This window comes from Homo sapiens, chromosome 4 (assembly GCF_000001405.40).
Source record: "Homo sapiens chromosome 4, GRCh38.p14 Primary Assembly".
Taxonomy (NCBI): domain Eukaryota; kingdom Metazoa; phylum Chordata; class Mammalia; order Primates; family Hominidae; genus Homo; species Homo sapiens.
In genome coordinates this window covers 1,139,283-1,157,959 of record NC_000004.12, presented here as the reverse complement: position 1 = coordinate 1,157,959, position 18,677 = coordinate 1,139,283, and the positions used below count along the sequence as shown (strand labels likewise).

Genomic DNA, 18,677 nt, shown 5'->3' with positions numbered 1-18,677 from the left:
TTGAAAACCTTCTGGAAAGGATTCACTATTCCAGATGCCATTCAAAACACTGATGATTCATGGGAGGACATACAAATATCAACATGAACAGGAGTTTGGGAGAAGCTGATCTTAACCCTCAAGGATGACTTTGAGGAGTTGAAGACTTCAGTGCAGGAAGTCTCTACAGATGTGGTGGAAACAGCAAGAGAAATAGAATTAGAAGTGGAGCCTGCAGATGGGACCAAATTATTGCAATCTCAGGCTGAAACCTGAACTGATGAGGAGTGCTTCTTATGGATGAGCAAAGAAAGTAGTTTACTGAGATGGAATCTAGTCCTGGTGAAGATTCTATGAACACTGAAATGAAACCAAGGGTTTAGAATATTCCATAAACTTAGTTGATAAAGCAGCAGCAGAATTGGAGAGGACTGGCTCCAATTTTGAAAGACTTTCTACTGTGGGTAAAATGCTATCAAAGTGTCACATGCTACAGAGGAATCTTTTGTGAAAGCATCAATTGATATGACAAACTTCACTGATGTCTAATTTTAAGACATTGCCACAGCCACCACAACCTTCAGCAGCCACCACCCTGATCAGTTAGCAGCCGTCTACATCAAGGCAAGACCCTCCACCAGCAAAAAGGTTACCACTCCATGAAGGCTCAGATAATCATTAGCATTTTTTAGCAATAAAGTATGTTAATTAAGGTACATGCATCTTTTTTGTAGACACAGTGCTTATTACACACTTAATAGACTACAATATAGTGTCAATATAACTTTTATATGCACTGGGAAACAAAAACATTTCTGTGACTTGGTTTACTGCAATGTTTGCTTTATTGGTGGTCTGGATCTGAACCTGCAGTGTCTCCAAGGTATGGCCTGTATAGCTATGTTGAAGGATAAAGCAAATATATTGTATTAATGCCAGTAAGTAGATTTTTGGCATAAAAGAGATACAAGTATATATTCAATGAAATGAAGTAAAACTCTTTAGTCTTACACTTCGATTGGACATGAGAATATGAGCTCCTTTTTTAATTTAAAAATAAGCCCACAGTAAAACCTTTCCTAGCTCTGTCCCCTGAGAAAGCTCAGGGCAATGACGATCTGCAGAAGCAAATGCCCCTCACGTGAATGCCTTTTATATTATATTAAAGAGTGAATGTTATTCTGTCTAAAGGACACAGGAGTGAAACTGAAGGGTCACCATTGGCCAAAGGTTGGGCAATTTAAGTATTAAGAATAATGACTCCAATATATCAGAAAAGCATTAAATACCCAGCCACTCATGAATTCATAATGATACTTTAAAGAATCCCCATTGGTTACATGGCGGCTGTTAGGGAACAAACATACTCCTTTGAAAACTGCTAATTCTAGGGAAAGAACCAAGCCCATGGCCGGCCTTTCCTGTACAAACTGCTTCAGGGCAAGCAGCTAGTTGGTGAGAAGTTCTCCTGTAGCAACCACTGAGGAAAGAGGAATCGAGAGAGAGTGGATGTCAAAACTGCCAGGCAGAGGCTGAGGGAACCTGACAAGGGGCAAGCGGGGACAGCACTGAGCCCCTGATGGGCTGTGGTCACTCAAGGCAGGACACCTGGACATCATGGCCTCCACTGTGAGGCACCAGGAGGCACTCAGCAGCAACTCTAGCTTAAAGTCTGAGCCCGAGTCTCATCAACTCTAACTGCACACGCCAGTACCTGGGAAGCTGGAGGAAGAGCCAGCCAACCCCTCGCCACTCCCAGCACAGTCTCTGGAGCATCAGTGTCAGTGCCCAGGCCCCGTCCTCACCTCCAGATCAGGGCGTGAGCTCAAAAAGAACCCCCAGAGATTTGCAGTCACAGCGAAGGTGTGCTGAGTCCAACGGCACCTGAGGACACTTTCACCACATCTGGGATGCCGGCCGCCAAGAGCAAGGGCCCCAGGGCCTCCAACAAATTAGTGGGTTAAGAAAGAGACTTGTGTGGGGAAGGCAGACCCTATAAATAAAAGAGTTTTAACAGACATAGCAACCAAGTGTCATGTGTGGATTCTGTTTAGATACTGATCAAAATAAATCAACTGTGAAAAAGACCTTTTAAGTCAATCAGGGAAATGTGACTGTGAACTGCGTGTCGGAGGACAGGAAGGGATTCTTATTAACCTTGCTGTGATGGCATGGTTGGTGACTGTTTCATTTAATAAGGTCCTCACTAGTTAGTGACGCATACTGAAGTGCCGATAGGTGAAAACGGCCTCTGACCTGACATACTTTAAAAGTGTGTGTGTGGTGTGTGTGTGTTGGTTAAGTAAAACTAGTTTGGGGTTCATCACACAATTCTCTAGTTTCATGTGCTTAAACTGTTCTAGAATAGACGGTTTTGTTTTTTTTAGCTGTGTGAGGAAGTAGAGAAGTGGAGCTAGCCTATCTGGCAACCCCTCAAGATGTCAGGCTATGAAATAACACTGGCAAACACTTACACAGAGTGTACTGTGTGCCAGGGACTGTTCTTAGCACTTTACACAGAGAGTATCATTTGGTCTTTACAGCCACCGTATAAAGTGGGCTCTTTATTCTCTCAGATGAGGAAACTGAGGCAGAGAACAACTAAGGAACTTGCCTAGGATCGCACAGGAGGTAAGGGGCAGAGGAGGGACACCCAGACAGTGTGGCCCCAGAGTCTAGGCTTGTCAACATTGTGCTTCAGAACATCTCTAAAGGAAAACATTGGCTGTTTGGGAGACTGAGGCAGAGGGAACAGACCAGTGGGAAGGGAGAGAGGTCTCTGAGGAGGAAGGAAAAGGTGGGCTCTGAAACTGGAGCTGGGTTTAGGTAGGAGGAAGGGCAGGTCGTGGATGAAGACAGCTGCAGGTGCGTGCCTGGTCACCCTTGCCACACGCTTGGAATCCAGCCAGAGCTCCACCTGGCACCAGAAAAGCAACAGCTACACCCTTCACCAAATGCCCACTATGCACCAGACCAGGGCTGAGAAGCCCACACCGCCTGTGTCATCTAATCCCTGCGACAATGCACTGCCCCTGCCTTATGGGTGACGGCCCGGAGGTCCGTCGATCTGTCCACACTCACGTCACTGAGAAGCAGTGTAGTCAGACAGCCCAGGCCCTCGGCTGCCAGCACTTGCTCCAAACCACACGATGCATTCTTTCCATCTTCCCACTTCTTTCCAGAGTGCTCAAAAGGGCTCGCTGAAGCATTCTCATGATGGTGCACTCACATACAAAAAACAAGCGTGTGCAAAAATGTGAGCACGTGAGCTTTGCAGCCGAGCTAGCTGTTCTCTGCCACTGTCAAATGCCCGGTCCCCGTGATGCAGTCCTGCAGTGATTAGTCACATAAGACGTTGCACTGGGGGCGTTGACGAATGGGTCACAGGACCTCTGCACTATTTTTGTAACTTTTTGTTAGTCTACAGACATTTTTAAATAAAAGGTTTAAAGAGAAAACACCGGATGTCGCAGCTGAAAAGACCTAATGGATCACTAAGTGATTTTCACTCCTTTTTTAAATGAGGAAACAGACTTAGTCTCTTCAGGGCACGCGCTCTTCCTAGTCCAGGTGGTTCCACTTTAGCCAGGTTCCCTTCCTCCCACCCACAGGTCCACACCCACCTCCCCCGCACCCAGACTCCTCCCAACCCAGCCTTCCCCCGGCACCCGGCCTCCCCCAACACACCCAAACTCCCTCCCACACACCCAGCTCTCCCCCACCCACCCAGACTCCCTTCACACACCCAGACTCCTCTCACACACCCAGCCTCCCCCAACATACCCAGACTCCCCCCAGACACCCAAACTCACCCCTTACACCCAGCCACACCCCCCCACACCTAGCCTCCCCACCGCACCCAGCCTCCCCTCGACATGCCTAGCCTCACCCCCACACCCAGCCTCCCTCCCCTCCTGCCTACACCTGCCTCCCCATCTCTCATTTCTCATACTCCATGACACCATCTTCATTAGAAGCTTCTTCACTCCATCAGAATGCTTCAACATCTTTTCAGTGGCGGATCAGAAAGAACTCTGCATCATCAGCTTGGAAAGGCCCCAAATTCTTACGCCTTTTTATCTTGTTCGTCGGATTTGCTGCAAGTATCTGCCCAGTGTCAGCGCCACGTGTCACTTCTCACAAAAATCAATTTTACAAAATTAGCCAGTGAAATACAAACACCCACTAACCAGTGGCACTTGCAACGGATCCATTTCAAAGAAAGTATTATCAGAAGTGGCTCAAGCAACAGAAATGCAAATGTTAACATTTCTTTTATGTTTTGGTTTTCCATTTTCAACTGCCTTTTATTTCCACGCAGGGGAACGTGAGGAGAAATGCCTAATAGAAGACATTCCAAGCGACACACTGGTAACAGGTAAGTAAAATGTGCTCGGTTAAATGTTGAACTCCAGAAGTGGTTTTACAGAATTCTGCCATCCTCTACGTCCATATTACTTGGCAGTGAACATAATGCTGCATGGTTTTCTCTTGATCATTTATCAAGTTATTCAAACCTAACAGCCTTAAGAGTGAATGGTAAAATTCATAAAACAGGAAATCTGGACAGTGTTCCCTGGAATCCAAGCTTGATTTGTTTTCCAGTTGTCAATGTTCCTCAGTAAAAGCATCTTGGATGCCATTTCTCACTCTAATAGTGGTTGAACATTCAAAACGTACGTGAGGTCTTTAGACTGTGCAGCAAGACAGGAGCACAAGTCGCACGTCCTCTGTGCCCTGACCTCCTGGTGTCCACAGAGCCATGGGGAGAAGGCATCGTGGTGGGTGTGCAAGTGCAGATCGGAGACTGTTTTCCAAGCAAACGGCTAGTAAAAGCTGCTAACACCATGGTGAGTTCCACACGTTTCCCACACTGCCACCAAGCACAGCCCCACACAGCTGAGCTTCACCTGCCTTCTGAGAAAGAAACAAGTACCTGTGGTGTCAGAACGGTGTAGAAAATCCAGAATATGCTTAACATTTAGGCCACAATCAACATCAAATTCCCGGGTTTTAATGCAAAAAAAAAAAAAAAAAAAAAAGGAGGGGGAGTAGGAAGAAGAGAATCTAGTGATATTCCTCACAAGTGCTGATTACGTATTTTATATCCCATTCAATCTTACAATGAATACTGTTGAATCCTCTTTTCAATTTATCTTGGTCATTACCTTTGAGTGTGCTATTGCAAAAAGTAATGACCCATCCTGCGAAAGATTAAGTAAATGCATCAAGCATGGAGGCAGAGAAAGAAACAGAGCAATGTGAGATCAAGTTTTGGGATGAGTAGCATGGAAAAAATAGCCAGGAAGAGAGCTGGGTGGTCTTAGAGCCCTCGCTGCTGCTCCGACACTGTGGATGAAGCCATATTTGGGACTCTGGAGTCTGTACAAGCCTGCCTGGATCCAAATCCCAGTCTGTCACCTGAGAGCTGTGTGCCACTGGGCAAGTGACTTACCCTCTGTTTAATTTGTGAAATGCAATGATGATTAAAAAAACAAACATCTATTTCTGTTGGTTGTGCTGATGATTAGGTTACTCTTTGTAAGGCTTTTACAACCTAACCCAGCTCACAGAAAGTACTGTGTTTGCTCAACACGTTCTCTGAGCCCAACGATCTCATCCCACGGGAAGCTTGGCCCCTGAGGTAAATAGCCCTGGGTAGCCGGCTGTTTTCCTGGTAACATATGAATTTTCCAGCCTGCAGTTGAAGGGGCAGAAGAAGAGGAAGGGGGACAGTGCTGGCCTGTCCACTTGCCTGTTGCCTCATGGCCCATCAGCTGGATGGGCTCACCCAGGACCCACTGGGACATCTCAAGGAACTGCAGCCACCTGAGCCACGGCGGCACTGGCAGCAGGAAGGCAAGTGTGGCTAGAGAGTGTCCTGACAGCTGTGTCAAGACAGGGTCTCAGTGATGACACCACGGTCCATCTAAAGTGGCTGGTGCCATCATGCCAGCTGCAGCAGGGAGGCACAGCCAGGGCTGCATGCTCCATGGAACTGGCAGGAGCTGCGGACAAGCAGGAGCCCTGCCCCTTCCGAGTTGGGTGGTAGCTCTCTGCAGACTTAGGCATCCCTGTGCTCTCGGGCCGGGAGCAGATGGGTGCCCCACTCTCCTGGGCACAGCTGCAGCCACTGAAGTCACAGCTGTAGACCCAGACCTCCTGCTCCACAGAGCAGGCAGAAGCCCCACCCAAGTCCCAGCTGCAGATCCAGGCCTTCTGCTCCATGGAGCAGGCAGGAGCCCCACCCCTCTGGGCACAGATGCAGCTGCCCAAGTCATGGCTGCAGACCCAGGCATCCCTGTGCTCCTGGAAGCCGGGAGCAGAGAGAAGCCCCTCTCCTAGGCGCAGCTACAGCCACCCAAACCATGGCTGCAGACCCAGGCATCTCTGCACTCTAGGGGGCCCAGGAAGCCCCATCCCCGGCCTTCGCAGGTTTGGAAGTGCCTGCTTCTGCTGCCTGGCTTCTCCCTGCTGTCAGTGTCCACTTTGATCTCAGAGTAAAGTCAGGGCGAGCCTGGGCACTGTTGCAGCCTGGCCAGGTGTGCACACGCTCAGGGCAGTGCTAATACACCAGCCCCCTGCTGCCTCAGCACCCTCCAGACTTTAAGCACCGAGAATAGGAGGGAAGCCAAGGGTGGGCTGAGGGTAGCTTGGCACTGGCCTGCAGGCACCCCTTGGCACCTATAGCCTGGACACCATGAATAGCAGCAGGACGCAGACAAGTTCCTGGGTGGAAGAGGGCAGGTCCCTGGTGAGGCCCCCACCTTCAGGCCAGGGAGGTCCTGAAGGCTGGGGACTGGGCTGCCAGTCCTGCAGACCAGAGTGGGAACTTCTGGTGCCTTTACCCATGACTGCCAATGTACCAATCACAGTGCACTTCCTCCCCTCTAAGGCCCATAAAAGCCCTAGGCTCAACCAGAGCTGAGCAGACATCAGGGCAACCAGATGCAGAGAGGAGCTACCCATTCCATGGCCTCCTCTCTGCTGAGAGCTGGGGAGACAACAAGAGGACCTGCCTGCAGAGAGCAACAGCCCACTCCAGGGCCTCCTCTCTGCTGAGAGCCGCAGGCACAAAGGGATGGCCCGTCTGCAGACAGGAGCAACCCACTCCAGGGCCTCCTCTCTGCTGAGAGCCTCAGAGATGACAGGATGGCCTGCCTGCCAAGAGGAGCTTCCCACTCTACGGTCTCCTCTGTGCTAGGAGCTGAACACGCGTTGTGACACCCTGGCTGTGGAAAGGAGCTGCCCCTGCGGGTCTCCTCTGAGCCGTTGTATCGCTCAATAAAGCTCGTCTTCCTCTTGCTCACCCTCCACTTGTCTGCAGACCTCATTCTTCCTGGTCACAGGACAAGAACTTGGGACCCGTCAAATGGCAAGGCTAAAAGAGCTGGTATAACACAAACAGGGCTGAGACATGCCCCTTGCTTGCCATGCTATGGGGGAAGAGAAGGAGAGAAGAGCTGCAGCCCTTCAGGGAGCCTAGACTTGGGAGCCCCCCAGGCCAGGAACAAGCAGGAGCCCTGCCCCTTCTGAGTTGGACTCCCTCTTTGGGGCCCTGTGGTTCCTGGCATACTGCATTCCCCAGTGCCAGCTGTGGAAGCTGCTTGCAGTGCACCTGGTCCAGCTGCAGCCTTGCAGAGAGTGGGCGCCCATGCCAGCACTGGAGCTGCCCACCTTGCAGCAGCTGCGGGTGTGCCTGACTGCACAGTGGCTGGACCCCATGCTCACTCACACACCCCTCACTGCTCTGTGCCTGACTCGCTCTTGGCAGGTGTGGGATCCAGGCCAGTAGCGTGAGTTGAGTGCAGCATGCCAGGCTGAGTGGGCAGAACAAGCCCAGTGGGCCCAAGCAAAACTCGGGCAAGGGTGCCACCAGCCACAGAAGTTTCCAGCTAGAAATGTGACACCCCAAGGATCCTCTGGCAAGCGGTCCCATCTGGCTGGAAGACCAGGGCCCACTGTGGCTGGCTCCCTCACCCAAGTCAGGAGCCTCTGGAGTCCTCCTTCCCACGGATGCTGCTGTCCACGCCTCCCTCCTCAGTTCCTGCCAAGGCTCTTCTCTGACTGACTGCTCCTCCTCACCTGGTCTTCCCAAGCCTCCCTACTCTCTGTTCTTCCCACTCAGCAGTCTCCTTAACCATCACCCTTGGGCAATTATTTAGATTTAGAGCTTGGCTACTTAAAACTCACTGTTATGGAAAACTTTGAAAGTGCATCAGGGCCAGGCATGGTGGTTCACACCTGTAATCCCAGCACTTTGGGAGGCCGAGGCATGTGATCACTTGAGGTCAGGGGTTCAAGACCAGCCTGGCCAACATGGTAAAACCCCGTCTCTACTAAAAATACAAAGAAGAAAAAAAATTAGCCAGGAGTAGTGGTGGACACCTGCAGTCCTGGCTACTTGGGAGGCTGAAGCAGAAGAATCACTTGAACCCAGGAGGCAGAGGTTGTAGTGAGCCGAGATCGCGTCACTGCACTCCAGCCTGGGTGACAGAATGAGACTCCATCTCAAAAAAAAAAAAAAAAAAAAAAGGCGCATCAGGCCACAGTTTTAACTTTTCTTTAAAAGAGAACAGTATGCCCTTAAAGTCCAAGAGCTACAGACTGGTCCTGGAAGCCATCCTGTGGGTCTGGTGCTCCTCACCCACTGCCCTGTGGTGGAGGAGCCCACACCTGCCCCACACCCTAGTGCCAAGGGAGCCTCTGCACTGGCGCTCTGGGGTGGCTGCTCGCCTTTTCCTTGCCGGGGAGCACAGCCCACAGCTGTCCATAGTGCAGGAACTACATCTCCACAACTGTATCCAATCATCCTTGTTCTGCCATCTGGGTCCACTCAAAATAAATACACATTTTTTCACCTGAAAGTCCGTCATAACTGAAGTCACAGATTCCACCCATCCCAGATTTCTCTTTGCAGGCTAACTCTCCTTAGTTGCCAAGTGCGCGGTTTTGCTCCAGTTTGTAACACACATGCGTGAAAGTATCTCGTTTGGGTCAAGCTAAGAGCTGGGAGCTGAAGACTCTGTAGGGCAAGACAGGCGAGCTCCCTGGGCCTGCCCCTGCCCCTGCCCCTGACTGCATTCAGCAAAGAAGCCGCAAAGCATGTAACCCAAGAAAGAAGAACTCACCGCTGACCCAGGACAGCCAGCCCAGAGGAGGCCGAGGGAGCAGGCTGTGGAGACTGAGGCAGGAGGGTGGAAGGCTCTGGCAAAAACGGGGGATGGGCATAAGACAAAAGAAGACTATTACTCAGACATGGAAAAACCGAGGACAGAAAATGGGCAAATCGTACAAGGAGAGAAAAGCAAACCAAACTCATCAAAACCAATTAAACAAACAACCACAAGTAAGTCATGGTCCAAATATGATGCCCTCAATTTCCCACAGATTGAGTGGTGCGAAGCTGGCTGGGGGGAGAGCCGGGATTGGCCTTTTACCTTGGCTGCTTTGGTCTACCAGCAGGCTGCTGGGACACAGGCCCTGTGCTGGGGGACGGGGATGGGGACAGGAGGATATCTGGGTCCCCTTCCCAGTTTCATGTCGCTCATAAAAGTGGTCATTTTGCTCTGTGTCAGCAGGGACACTTCCGGTTTGAAGGTGTATTAGGACTGAATGAGCTCTTTGAGGGCATGAACTCTTCTATTAACCTTTGTATCCCCAAAGCCTATTGCAGTGCCTGGCACATGTGGAGTGAGTGCTTTTAATCAGAACTGAACAAACTGCAGGATGAACTGTGGTTCTAAGACTTCCACACACATTGAGACGAATTTGAAAGTCAGATTCTAATTACAAGCATGCAGCCAGATGTGGATGCATCTCACTTCTTGACTTGGCTGAAAACTAACATACAAAAGCCTTTCTGAAATCCATTTCCATGATATCCACGGTGTTCTAAACTCTCCCTGTCAGTGCCATTTCCATGATATCCATGGTGTTCTAAACTCTCGCTGTGGGTGCCATTTCCATGATATCCACGGTGTTCTAAACTCTCCCCATCAGTGCCATTTCCACGATATCCATGGTGTTCTAAACTCTCCCCATTGGTGCCATTTCCATGATATCCACGGCGTTCTAAACTCTCCCCGTCGGTGCCATTTCCATGATATCCACGGTGTTCTAAACTCTCGCTGTGGGTGCCATTTCCATGATATCCACAGCGTTCTAAACTCTCGCTGTCAGTGCCATTTCCATGATATCCACGGTGTTCTAAACTCTCGCTGTCAGTGCCATTTCCATGATATCCACGGTGTTCTAAACTCTCGCTGTGGGTGCCATTTCCATGATATCCACAGTGTTCTAAACTCTCCCTGTTGGTGCCATTTCCATGATATCCACGGTGTTCTAAACTCTCGCTGTCAGTGCCATTTCCATGATATCCACGGTGTTCTAAACTCTCGCTGTCAGTGCCATTTCCATGATATCCACGGTGTTCTAAACTCTCGCTGTGGGTGCCATTTCCATGATATCCACGGTGTTCTAAACTCTCCCTGTTGGTGCCATTTCCATGATATCCACGACGTTCTAAGCTCTCCCTGTCGGTGCCATTTCCATGATATCCATGGTGTTCTAAACTCTCGCTGTGGGTGCCATTTCCATGATATCCACGGTGTTCTAAACTCTCGCTGTGGGTGCCATTTCCATGATATCCACGGTGTTCTAAACTCTCCCTGTTGGTGCCATTTCCATGATATCCACGACGTTCTAAGCTCTCCCTGTCGGTGCCATTTCCATGATATCCATGGCGTTCTAAACTCTCCCTGTCAGTGCCATTTCCATGATATCCATGGTGTTCTAAACTCTCGCTGTGGGTGCCATTTCCATGATATCCACGGCGTTCTAAACTCTCCCTGTCGGTGCCATTTCCATGATATCCACGGCGTTCTAAACTCTCCCCGTCGGTGCCATTTCCATGATATCCATGGCGTTCTAAGCTCTCCCCGTCGGTGACATTTCCATGATATCCACGGCGTTCTAAACTCTCCCCATCGGTGCCATTTCCATAATATCCACGGCGTTCTAAACTCTCCCCATCGGTGCCATTTCCATGATATCCATGGCATTCTAAGCTCTCCCCGTCGGTGCCATTTCCATGATATCCACGGCGTCCTAAGCTCTCCCCATCGGTGCCATTTCCATGATATCCACAGCATTCTAAACTCTCGCTGTCGGTGCCATTTCCATGATATCCACAGTGTCCTAAGCTCTCCCCGTCGGTGCCATTTCCATGATATCCATGGCGTTCTAAACTCTCCCCATCGGTACCATTTCCATGATATCCATGGTGTTCTAAACTCTCCCCATCGGTGCCATTTCCATGATATGCACGGCGTTCTAAGCTCTCCCTGTCAGTGCCATTTCCATGATATCCACGGCATTCTAAGCTCTCCCCGTCGGTGCCACTTCCATGATATCCACGGTGTTCTAAGCTCTGTCAGTGTCACTTCCATGATATCCACAGCGTTCTAAGCTCTCCCCATCGGTGCCATTTCCATGATATCCACGGCGTTTTAAACTCTCCGTCAGTGCCATTTCCATGATATCCACGGCGTTCTAAACTCTCCCCATCGGTACCATTTCCATGATATCCACGGTGTTCTAAACTCTCCCCATCGGTGCCATTTCCATGATATGCACGGCGTTCTAAGCTCTCCCTGTCAGTGCCATTTCCATGATATCCACGGCATTCTAAGCTCTCCTCGTCGGTGCCACTTCCATGATATCCACAGTGTTCTAAGCTCTGTCAGTGTCACTTCCATGATATCCACAGCGTTCTAAGCTCTCCCCATCGGTGCCATTTCCATGATATCCACGGTGTTTTAAACTCTCCCCGTTGGTGCCACTTCCGTGATATCCACGGCGTTCTAAGCTCTCCCCATCAGTGCCATTTCCATGATATCCACGGCATTCTAAACTCTCGCTATGGGTGCTATTTCCATGATATCCACGGCGTTCTAAGCTCTCCCCATCGGTGCCATTTCCAAGATATCCACGGTGTTCTGAACTCTCCCCGTTGGTGCCATTTCCGAGCTCTCCCCGTCGGTGCCATTTCCATGATATCCGCGGCGTCCTGAGCTCTCCCCGTCGGTGCCATTTCCATGATATCCACGGCGTCCTGAGCTCTCCCCGTCGGTGCCATTTCCATGATATCCGCGGCGTCCTGAGCTCTCCCCGTCGGTGCCATTTCCATGATATCCACGGCGTCCTGAGCTCTCCCCGTCGGTGCCATTTCCATGATATCCACGGCGTCCTGAGCTCTCCCCGTCGGTGCCATTTCCATGATATCCACGGCGTCCTGAGCTCTCCCCGTCGGTGCCATTTCCATGATATCCAGGGCGTCCTGAGCTCTCCCCGTCGGTGCCATTTCCATGATATCCACGGCGTCCTGAGCTCTCCCCGTCGGTGCCATTTCCATGATATCCACGGCGTCCTGAGCTCTCCCCGTCGGTGCCATTTCCATGATATCCACGGCGTCCTGAGCTCTCCCCGTCGGTGCCATTTCCATGATATCCACGGCGTCCTGAGCTCTCCCCGTCGGTGCCACTTCCATGATATCCACGGTGTTCTAAGCTCTGTCAGTGTCACTTCCATGATATCCACAGCGTTCTAAGCTCTCCCCATCGGTGCCATTTCCATGATATCCACGGCGTTTTAAACTCTCCCTGTCAGTGCCATTTCCATGATATCCACGGCGTTCTAAACTCTCCCCATCGGTACCATTTCCATGATATCCACGGTGTTCTAAACTCTCCCCATCGGTGCCATTTCCATGATATGCACGGCGTTCTAAGCTCTCCCTGTCAGTGCCATTTCCATGATATCCACGGCATTCTAAGCTCTCCTCGTCGGTGCCACTTCCATGATATCCACAGTGTTCTAAGCTCTGTCAGTGTCACTTCCATGATATCCACAGCGTTCTAAGCTCTCCCCATCGGTGCCATTTCCATGATATCCACGGTGTTTTAAACTCTCCCCGTCGGTGCCACTTCCGTGATATCCACGGCATTCTAAGCTCTCCCCATCGGTGCCATTTCCATGATATCCACGGCATTCTAAACTCTCGCTATGGGTGCTATTTCCATGATATCCACGGCGTTCTAAGCTCTCCCCATCGGTGCCATTTCCAAGATATCCACGGTGTTCTGAACTCTCCCCGTTGGTGCCATTTCCGAGCTCTCCCCGTCGGTGCCATTTCCATGATATCCGCGGCATCCTGAGCTCTCCCCGTCGGTGCCATTTCCATGATATCCACGGCGTCCTGAGCTCTCCCCGTCGGTGCCATTTCCATGATATCCACGGCGTCCTGAGCTCTCCCCGTCGGTGCCATTTCCATGATATCCACGGCGTTCTGAGCTCTCCCCGTCGGTGCCATTTCCATGATATCCACGGCGTTCTGAATTCTCCCCGTCGGTGCCATTTCTATGATATCCAGGGCGTCCTAAGCTCTCCCCGTCGGTGCCATTTCCATGATATCCACGGTGTTCTGAACTCTCCCCGTCGGTGCCATTTCCATGATATCCACGGCGTTCTAAGCTCTCCCTGTCAGTGTCACTTCCATGATATCCACGGCGTTCTAAGCTCTCCCCATCGGTGCCATTTCCATGATATCCACGGCGTTCTGAACTCTCCCCGTCGGTGCCATTTCCATGATCTCCACGGCGTTCTAAGCTCTCCCTGTCAGTGCCATTTCCATGATATCCACGGCGTTCTAAGCTCTCCCCGTCGGTGCCATTTCCATGATATCCACGGCGTTCTGAACTCTCCCCGTCGGTGCCATTTCCATGATATCCATGGTGTCCTAAGCTCTCCCTGTCGGTGCCATTTCCATGATATCCACGGCGTTCTAAGCTCTCCCTGTTGGTACCATTTCCATGATATCCACAGTGTTCTAAGCTCTCCCTGTTGGTATTCCCTAACAAAAAAAGGAATGAGACTTGTGCGGCACAACCTTTTCTTGGTGAAGCCACAGGCTCACTGCGGTTCTTCCTCAATGCTCAGAAATGGTCAGTTGCCCAGGACTTAATTTCAAGCTCTCTTGGCAACTGAAGATTGTGTTTTTAATTATGTTTATTCCACTCTTTTCCCTTTAAAAATCATCTCCCTCTCTCTTTTCTTCCTTTTCTCCCCGTGTTCCTTTATATATTCAGCAAATATCTACCGCTCACCTATGAGTCATTGTTCTTGATTCTGCGGATTCAAACTGGAAAGAAACATAATAATGGAATCTTGCCTTCAGGGTGTTTATGGTTTCATGGACAGAGAAAAACAATAACCTAGAAAATGAGCAAGTCATAAAACAACTCAGAGAGGGGGACAGGAGGCTCCCAGCATGGACGAAGAAGAACTCACTGGGATAGTAACCCTGAAGCTGTGATGCACGGGGATGGGGGAGACTTGGAGTGTGTCTGAGGAAGCAGACAGTGAGGCTGGACTGGCTGGAGGATAGAAGGTGGGGCTGGAAGGTCAGCATCACGGCACCTTGGTCAACAGCCACAGACAGACTTTGAATTTGACTCTGAGTGACAAGGCTTTTAGTATAATCCACACTTTAAATGCCACATGGCTGCAGAAGCAGAGATATCCAGGGAAGCTCCTCCCATCATCCAGGAAAGAGGATGGGGCTTGGATCAAGGGAGCTCCAGCGAGAGGAGCTATGGTCAGATACCAGATGCATTTGGAAGGCAGAACCTATAAGACATTCTGACAGAATGAAAATGGGGTTCACAAAGAGACAAATAAACAAGAATTTACAGAGATGGAGAAGACTGCAGACCATGGTTTGGGTCAGGGTGGGAGGGCGGGGGGTCAGGAATTTTTTTTTCTGGATTAATTAAATCTGAGATGCCTGTTGGCCATCTGTCACAATCCATATTGTGTTGCTATATCAGAATGCCACAGACTGTGTAATTTATAAAGAAAAGAAATACATTTCTCACAGTTCTGAAGGCTGGGAATTCCAAGAGCAATGGGCATCTAAAGCACCTGTTTGAAGGCATTGAGTACAACCAACACAGACAGGACTTAAGAGGCCACGATCTTTGGAGAGGGAAAAGACACGAGGTGAGCTCCACAATCATCCTGGTGTTTTCCACTCAGGAAAATTTCAAATTGTATATTAGGGTAATAAATCTCAAGAGAAAGGGCCAAGGAAAGAGAGGTCAGAGTTCAGGACTGCCAAAGTGGCTGGGAAGTGAGGAGGGAAATCCAGAAAAGGAAGGAAACAAAAATAAGGAGCCTAATAATCTGAATTAAAATCTTCCTCAAATAACTGGCTGATACCTAAGTTACATAAAAGCAGAGAGAGACTCAAAACAGGCAAACAAAAACAACCAGCAGGAAACAGCAACCGCTGAAGAATGAAGCAGAGGTTTTGTCAGCCACATGGACCTGGCAGGAAAGGACCATGACCCAACAAGGTGGAGGGATCTCAGAAAACACCCTGGACCCTACAAGGGTTACACTCTGGGCATAAGATCAGGCCCTAGAAATAAGGACTACATCCCAGGGGTGGGTTACATTCTAGGAATAAGGACAAAACTGGAATAGATCAGCCCTGTTTGCTAGCAGGAAATAACCCTCCTTGGAGGAGGATAGCATTATTCAAACCCTCTACAATATACCAAAAAAATAAAAAAAACCCTCTATGGTGTACAGCATCCAATCCCAAATTATGAGGCATGCTTTAAAAAAAAAAAAAAAGATTGAATGACCAGAAGCCAAAATATTAAACAGGCAATAGAAAGAGATACACAGATGATTCAGAGCGGGACTTTAAAATTACTATTAATATGTTAAAGAAAATAGGGAAATTGATGAACAAGATATATGAAAAGATGGAGAATTTCAATAATTAGGATCTCTTTTTAAAAAACCAAGTGGACATTCTGGAACTGAAAAACACAATGTCTGAAGAACTCATTCGATAGAGTCAACAAAAGACCAGGAAAGAAGATTAGTGAAGGAGATTAGATTAGTGAACTGGAAGAGATTTCAATAGAAAAAAGAATGAAAAGACCAGAAAGGAGTGTAAGATATGTGAGGAAGACAAATGGCCTAAGATACATGCAATTGCAGCCCCAAAGAGAAAGGTGAGAGAGAATGGAGAAAAGGCAATATTTAAAGACATAATGGCCAAAAAATTTTGAAAATTGATGGAAGACATCAACCCAGAGATTCAAGGAGCTCAGAGTACCCCAAATGAGGATAAATATAAGGACAACCACACCTAGGTACATCATTGTCACACTATCGAAAGCCAAATACAAACAGAAAAAAATTAAAAATAACCAAAGGGAAAACCACAATCATATCAGGGCACAGTTACTTCAATCTTAAAAATGATTTTGTTAACGTTTCAACAGAAGCTATGGCATCTTCAGAGATGCTGAACGGAAAGGGAAAAACGACTTTGTGATAGATTTTGAAATCAGGAAGTGTGATGACTCCAACTTTGTTCTCTCTCAAGATTAATTTGGCTCTTCATAGTCTTTTTTGGTTCCATATGAATTTTAGAATTGTTTTTCTATTTCTGTCCATCGAAATTTTGATAGGGATTGCATTGATTTGGTAGATTGCATTGGGTAGTACGGACATTTTAACAATATGAAGTACTGCAATCCATGAACCCGAGATGGCTTTTGTGTCTTCTTTCTTTCATTAATGTTCTGTAATTTTTGTATACTAGTCTATCACTTCCTTTGTTAAGTCTATTCCTAAGTATTTCATACTTTTTGGTGGTATTGTAAATGGGACTGTTTTCCTAATTGTCTTTTCAAATAGTTCATTGTTAGTGTATAGAAATGCATCTCATTTTCTGCATTGATTTTGTATCCTGCAACTTCACTGAATTCATTTATTCATTCTCACAGTTTGTTTTGTTTTGTTTTGTTTTTTGAGACAGAGTCTCGCTCTGTTGCCCAGGTTGGAGTGCAGTGGCACGATCTTGGCTCACTGAAAACTCCACCTCCTGGGTTCACACCATTCTCCTGCCTCCCGAGTAGCTGGGACTACAGGCGCCTGCCACCATGCCCAACTAATTTTTTGTATTTTTTTTAGTAGAGGCAGGGTTTCACTGTGTTAGCCAGGATGGTCTCGATCTCCTGACCTCCTGATCTGCCTGCTTCAGCCTCCCAAAGTGCTGGGATTAGAGGTGTGAGCCACCATGCCCAGCCAGTTCTCACAGTTTTTTATGTAGTCTTTAGGGTTTTCTATGTATAGGATCATGTCATCTGCAAACAGGGACAATATTATTTTCCTTTCCTATTTGGATGTCTTTTATTTCTTTTTCTTGCCTAAATGCTCTTGCTAGGACTTCCAGTACTATGTTGAATAAAAGTGACAAAAGCAGGTATCCTTGCCTTTTTCCTGATCGTAAAGGAAAAGCTTTTGTTTTCCCCAGTGAGTATGATGTTAGCTGTTGACTTTTCATATAATGTCTTTATTATGCTGAGGTACTTTCCTACTATTTCTAATTTGATAACTTTTATCATGAAAGGATGCTGAATTGTGTTAAATGCTTCTTCTACATCTATTGAGATAATCATGTGATTTTTATCTTTTATTCTGTTAATACAATATACCATATTGATTTATGTGTGCTGAACCATCTTTGCACCCCAGGGATAAACCCTACTTGGTTATGGTGTAATAATATGATCCTTTTAAAGCGTCTTTGATTTGGCTCACCAGTATTTTGTTGAGGACTTTTGCATCTATATTCATCAGGAATACTGGCCTATAGTTTTCTTTTCTTGTAGTGTCTTTGTCTGGCTTTAGTATCAGGGTAGTGCTGTTCTCATAAAATGAGTTTGGAATGGTTCCCTCCTCTTCAACTTTTGAAAAGAATCTGAGAAGGATTGGTGTTGATTCTTCTTTAAACGCTGGTTGAATTTGCCAGTGAAGCCATCTGGTCCTGGGCTTTTCTTTATTGGAAGGTGCTGGATTATGTACTCAATCTCCATATTAGTTAAGGAGATATTCAGACTTTCTGTTTCTTCATGATTCAGTCTGGATAGATTGTGTGTTTTTAGGAGTTTATCTGTTTCTTTTAGGTTATTCAGTTTGCTGGCATATAATTATTCATACTAGTCTCTTATTATCATTTTTATATCTATGGCATCAGTTTTAATGTCTCCTCTTTCACTCTGGTTTTATTTGAATTGTCTCTTTTTCTTCATCTAGACTCGATTTCAAAATATACTATAAAGCAACAGTAATCAAGACACTGTGGGCTGGGTGTGGTGTCTCACGCCTGTAATCCCAGCATTTCCAGCATTTTGGGAGGCTGAGGTGGGGAGATCACTTGAGGTCAGAGTTCGAGATCAGCCTGGTCAACATGGTGAAACCCTGTCTCTATTAAAAATAAAAAAATTAGCTGGGCATGGATGCCTGTAGTCCCAGCTACTGGGGAGGCTGAAGCAGGAGAGTCACTTGAACCCGGGAGGTGGAGGTTGCAGTGAGCTGAGATCACGCCACTGCATGTCAGCCTGGGCAACACAGTGAGACTCTGTCTCGGAAAAACAAAAAACAAACAACAACAACAAAAAACCAGTATAATACTAGTGTGAAGACAGACAGACCAATGGAACAGAATAAAGAGCCCAGAAATAAATCCACACATATATGGTCAACTGATCTTTGACAAAGGTGACAAGAATAGGGTGGAGAAAGGACAGTCTCTTTAATAAGTGGTGCTGGGA

The 18,677-nt window shown here is 47.9% G+C and overlaps 2 protein-coding genes across 2 annotated transcripts in view, besides 2 other annotated features; both read right to left on the bottom strand.

Moving 5' to 3' along the window:
- LOC124900647 (nascent polypeptide-associated complex subunit alpha, muscle-specific form-like) overlaps window positions 1-18,677 on the bottom strand; it is an 89,556-nt gene that overhangs the window by 45,235 nt on the left and 25,644 nt on the right. The window lies entirely within an intron of this gene.
- Window positions 4,260-12,529, bottom strand: LOC124900837 (hornerin-like). The gene is made up of 2 exons (XM_047416541.1): window positions 12,026-12,529; window positions 4,260-11,410 (listed from the first exon to the last, which is right to left on the bottom strand). Exons 1-2 carry the CDS (start codon window positions 12,527-12,529, stop codon window positions 9,800-9,802), a joined length of 2,115 nt encoding a protein of 704 aa, XP_047272497.1. The 3' UTR covers window positions 4,260-9,799.
- Window positions 7,201-7,701: an enhancer, noted in NCBI's record as "H3K4me1 hESC enhancer chr4:1144047-1144547 (GRCh37/hg19 assembly coordinates)". NCBI's record gives its function as "activates a minimal SCP1, AML or CMV promoter by ChIP-STARR-seq in naive H9 embryonic stem cells {active_cell/tissue: H9 hESC(naive)}" and the evidence as "EXISTENCE:reporter gene assay evidence [ECO:0000049][PMID:30033119]".
- Window positions 7,702-8,202: an enhancer, noted in NCBI's record as "H3K4me1 hESC enhancer chr4:1143546-1144046 (GRCh37/hg19 assembly coordinates)". NCBI's record gives its function as "activates a minimal SCP1, AML or CMV promoter by ChIP-STARR-seq in naive H9 embryonic stem cells {active_cell/tissue: H9 hESC(naive)}" and the evidence as "EXISTENCE:reporter gene assay evidence [ECO:0000049][PMID:30033119]".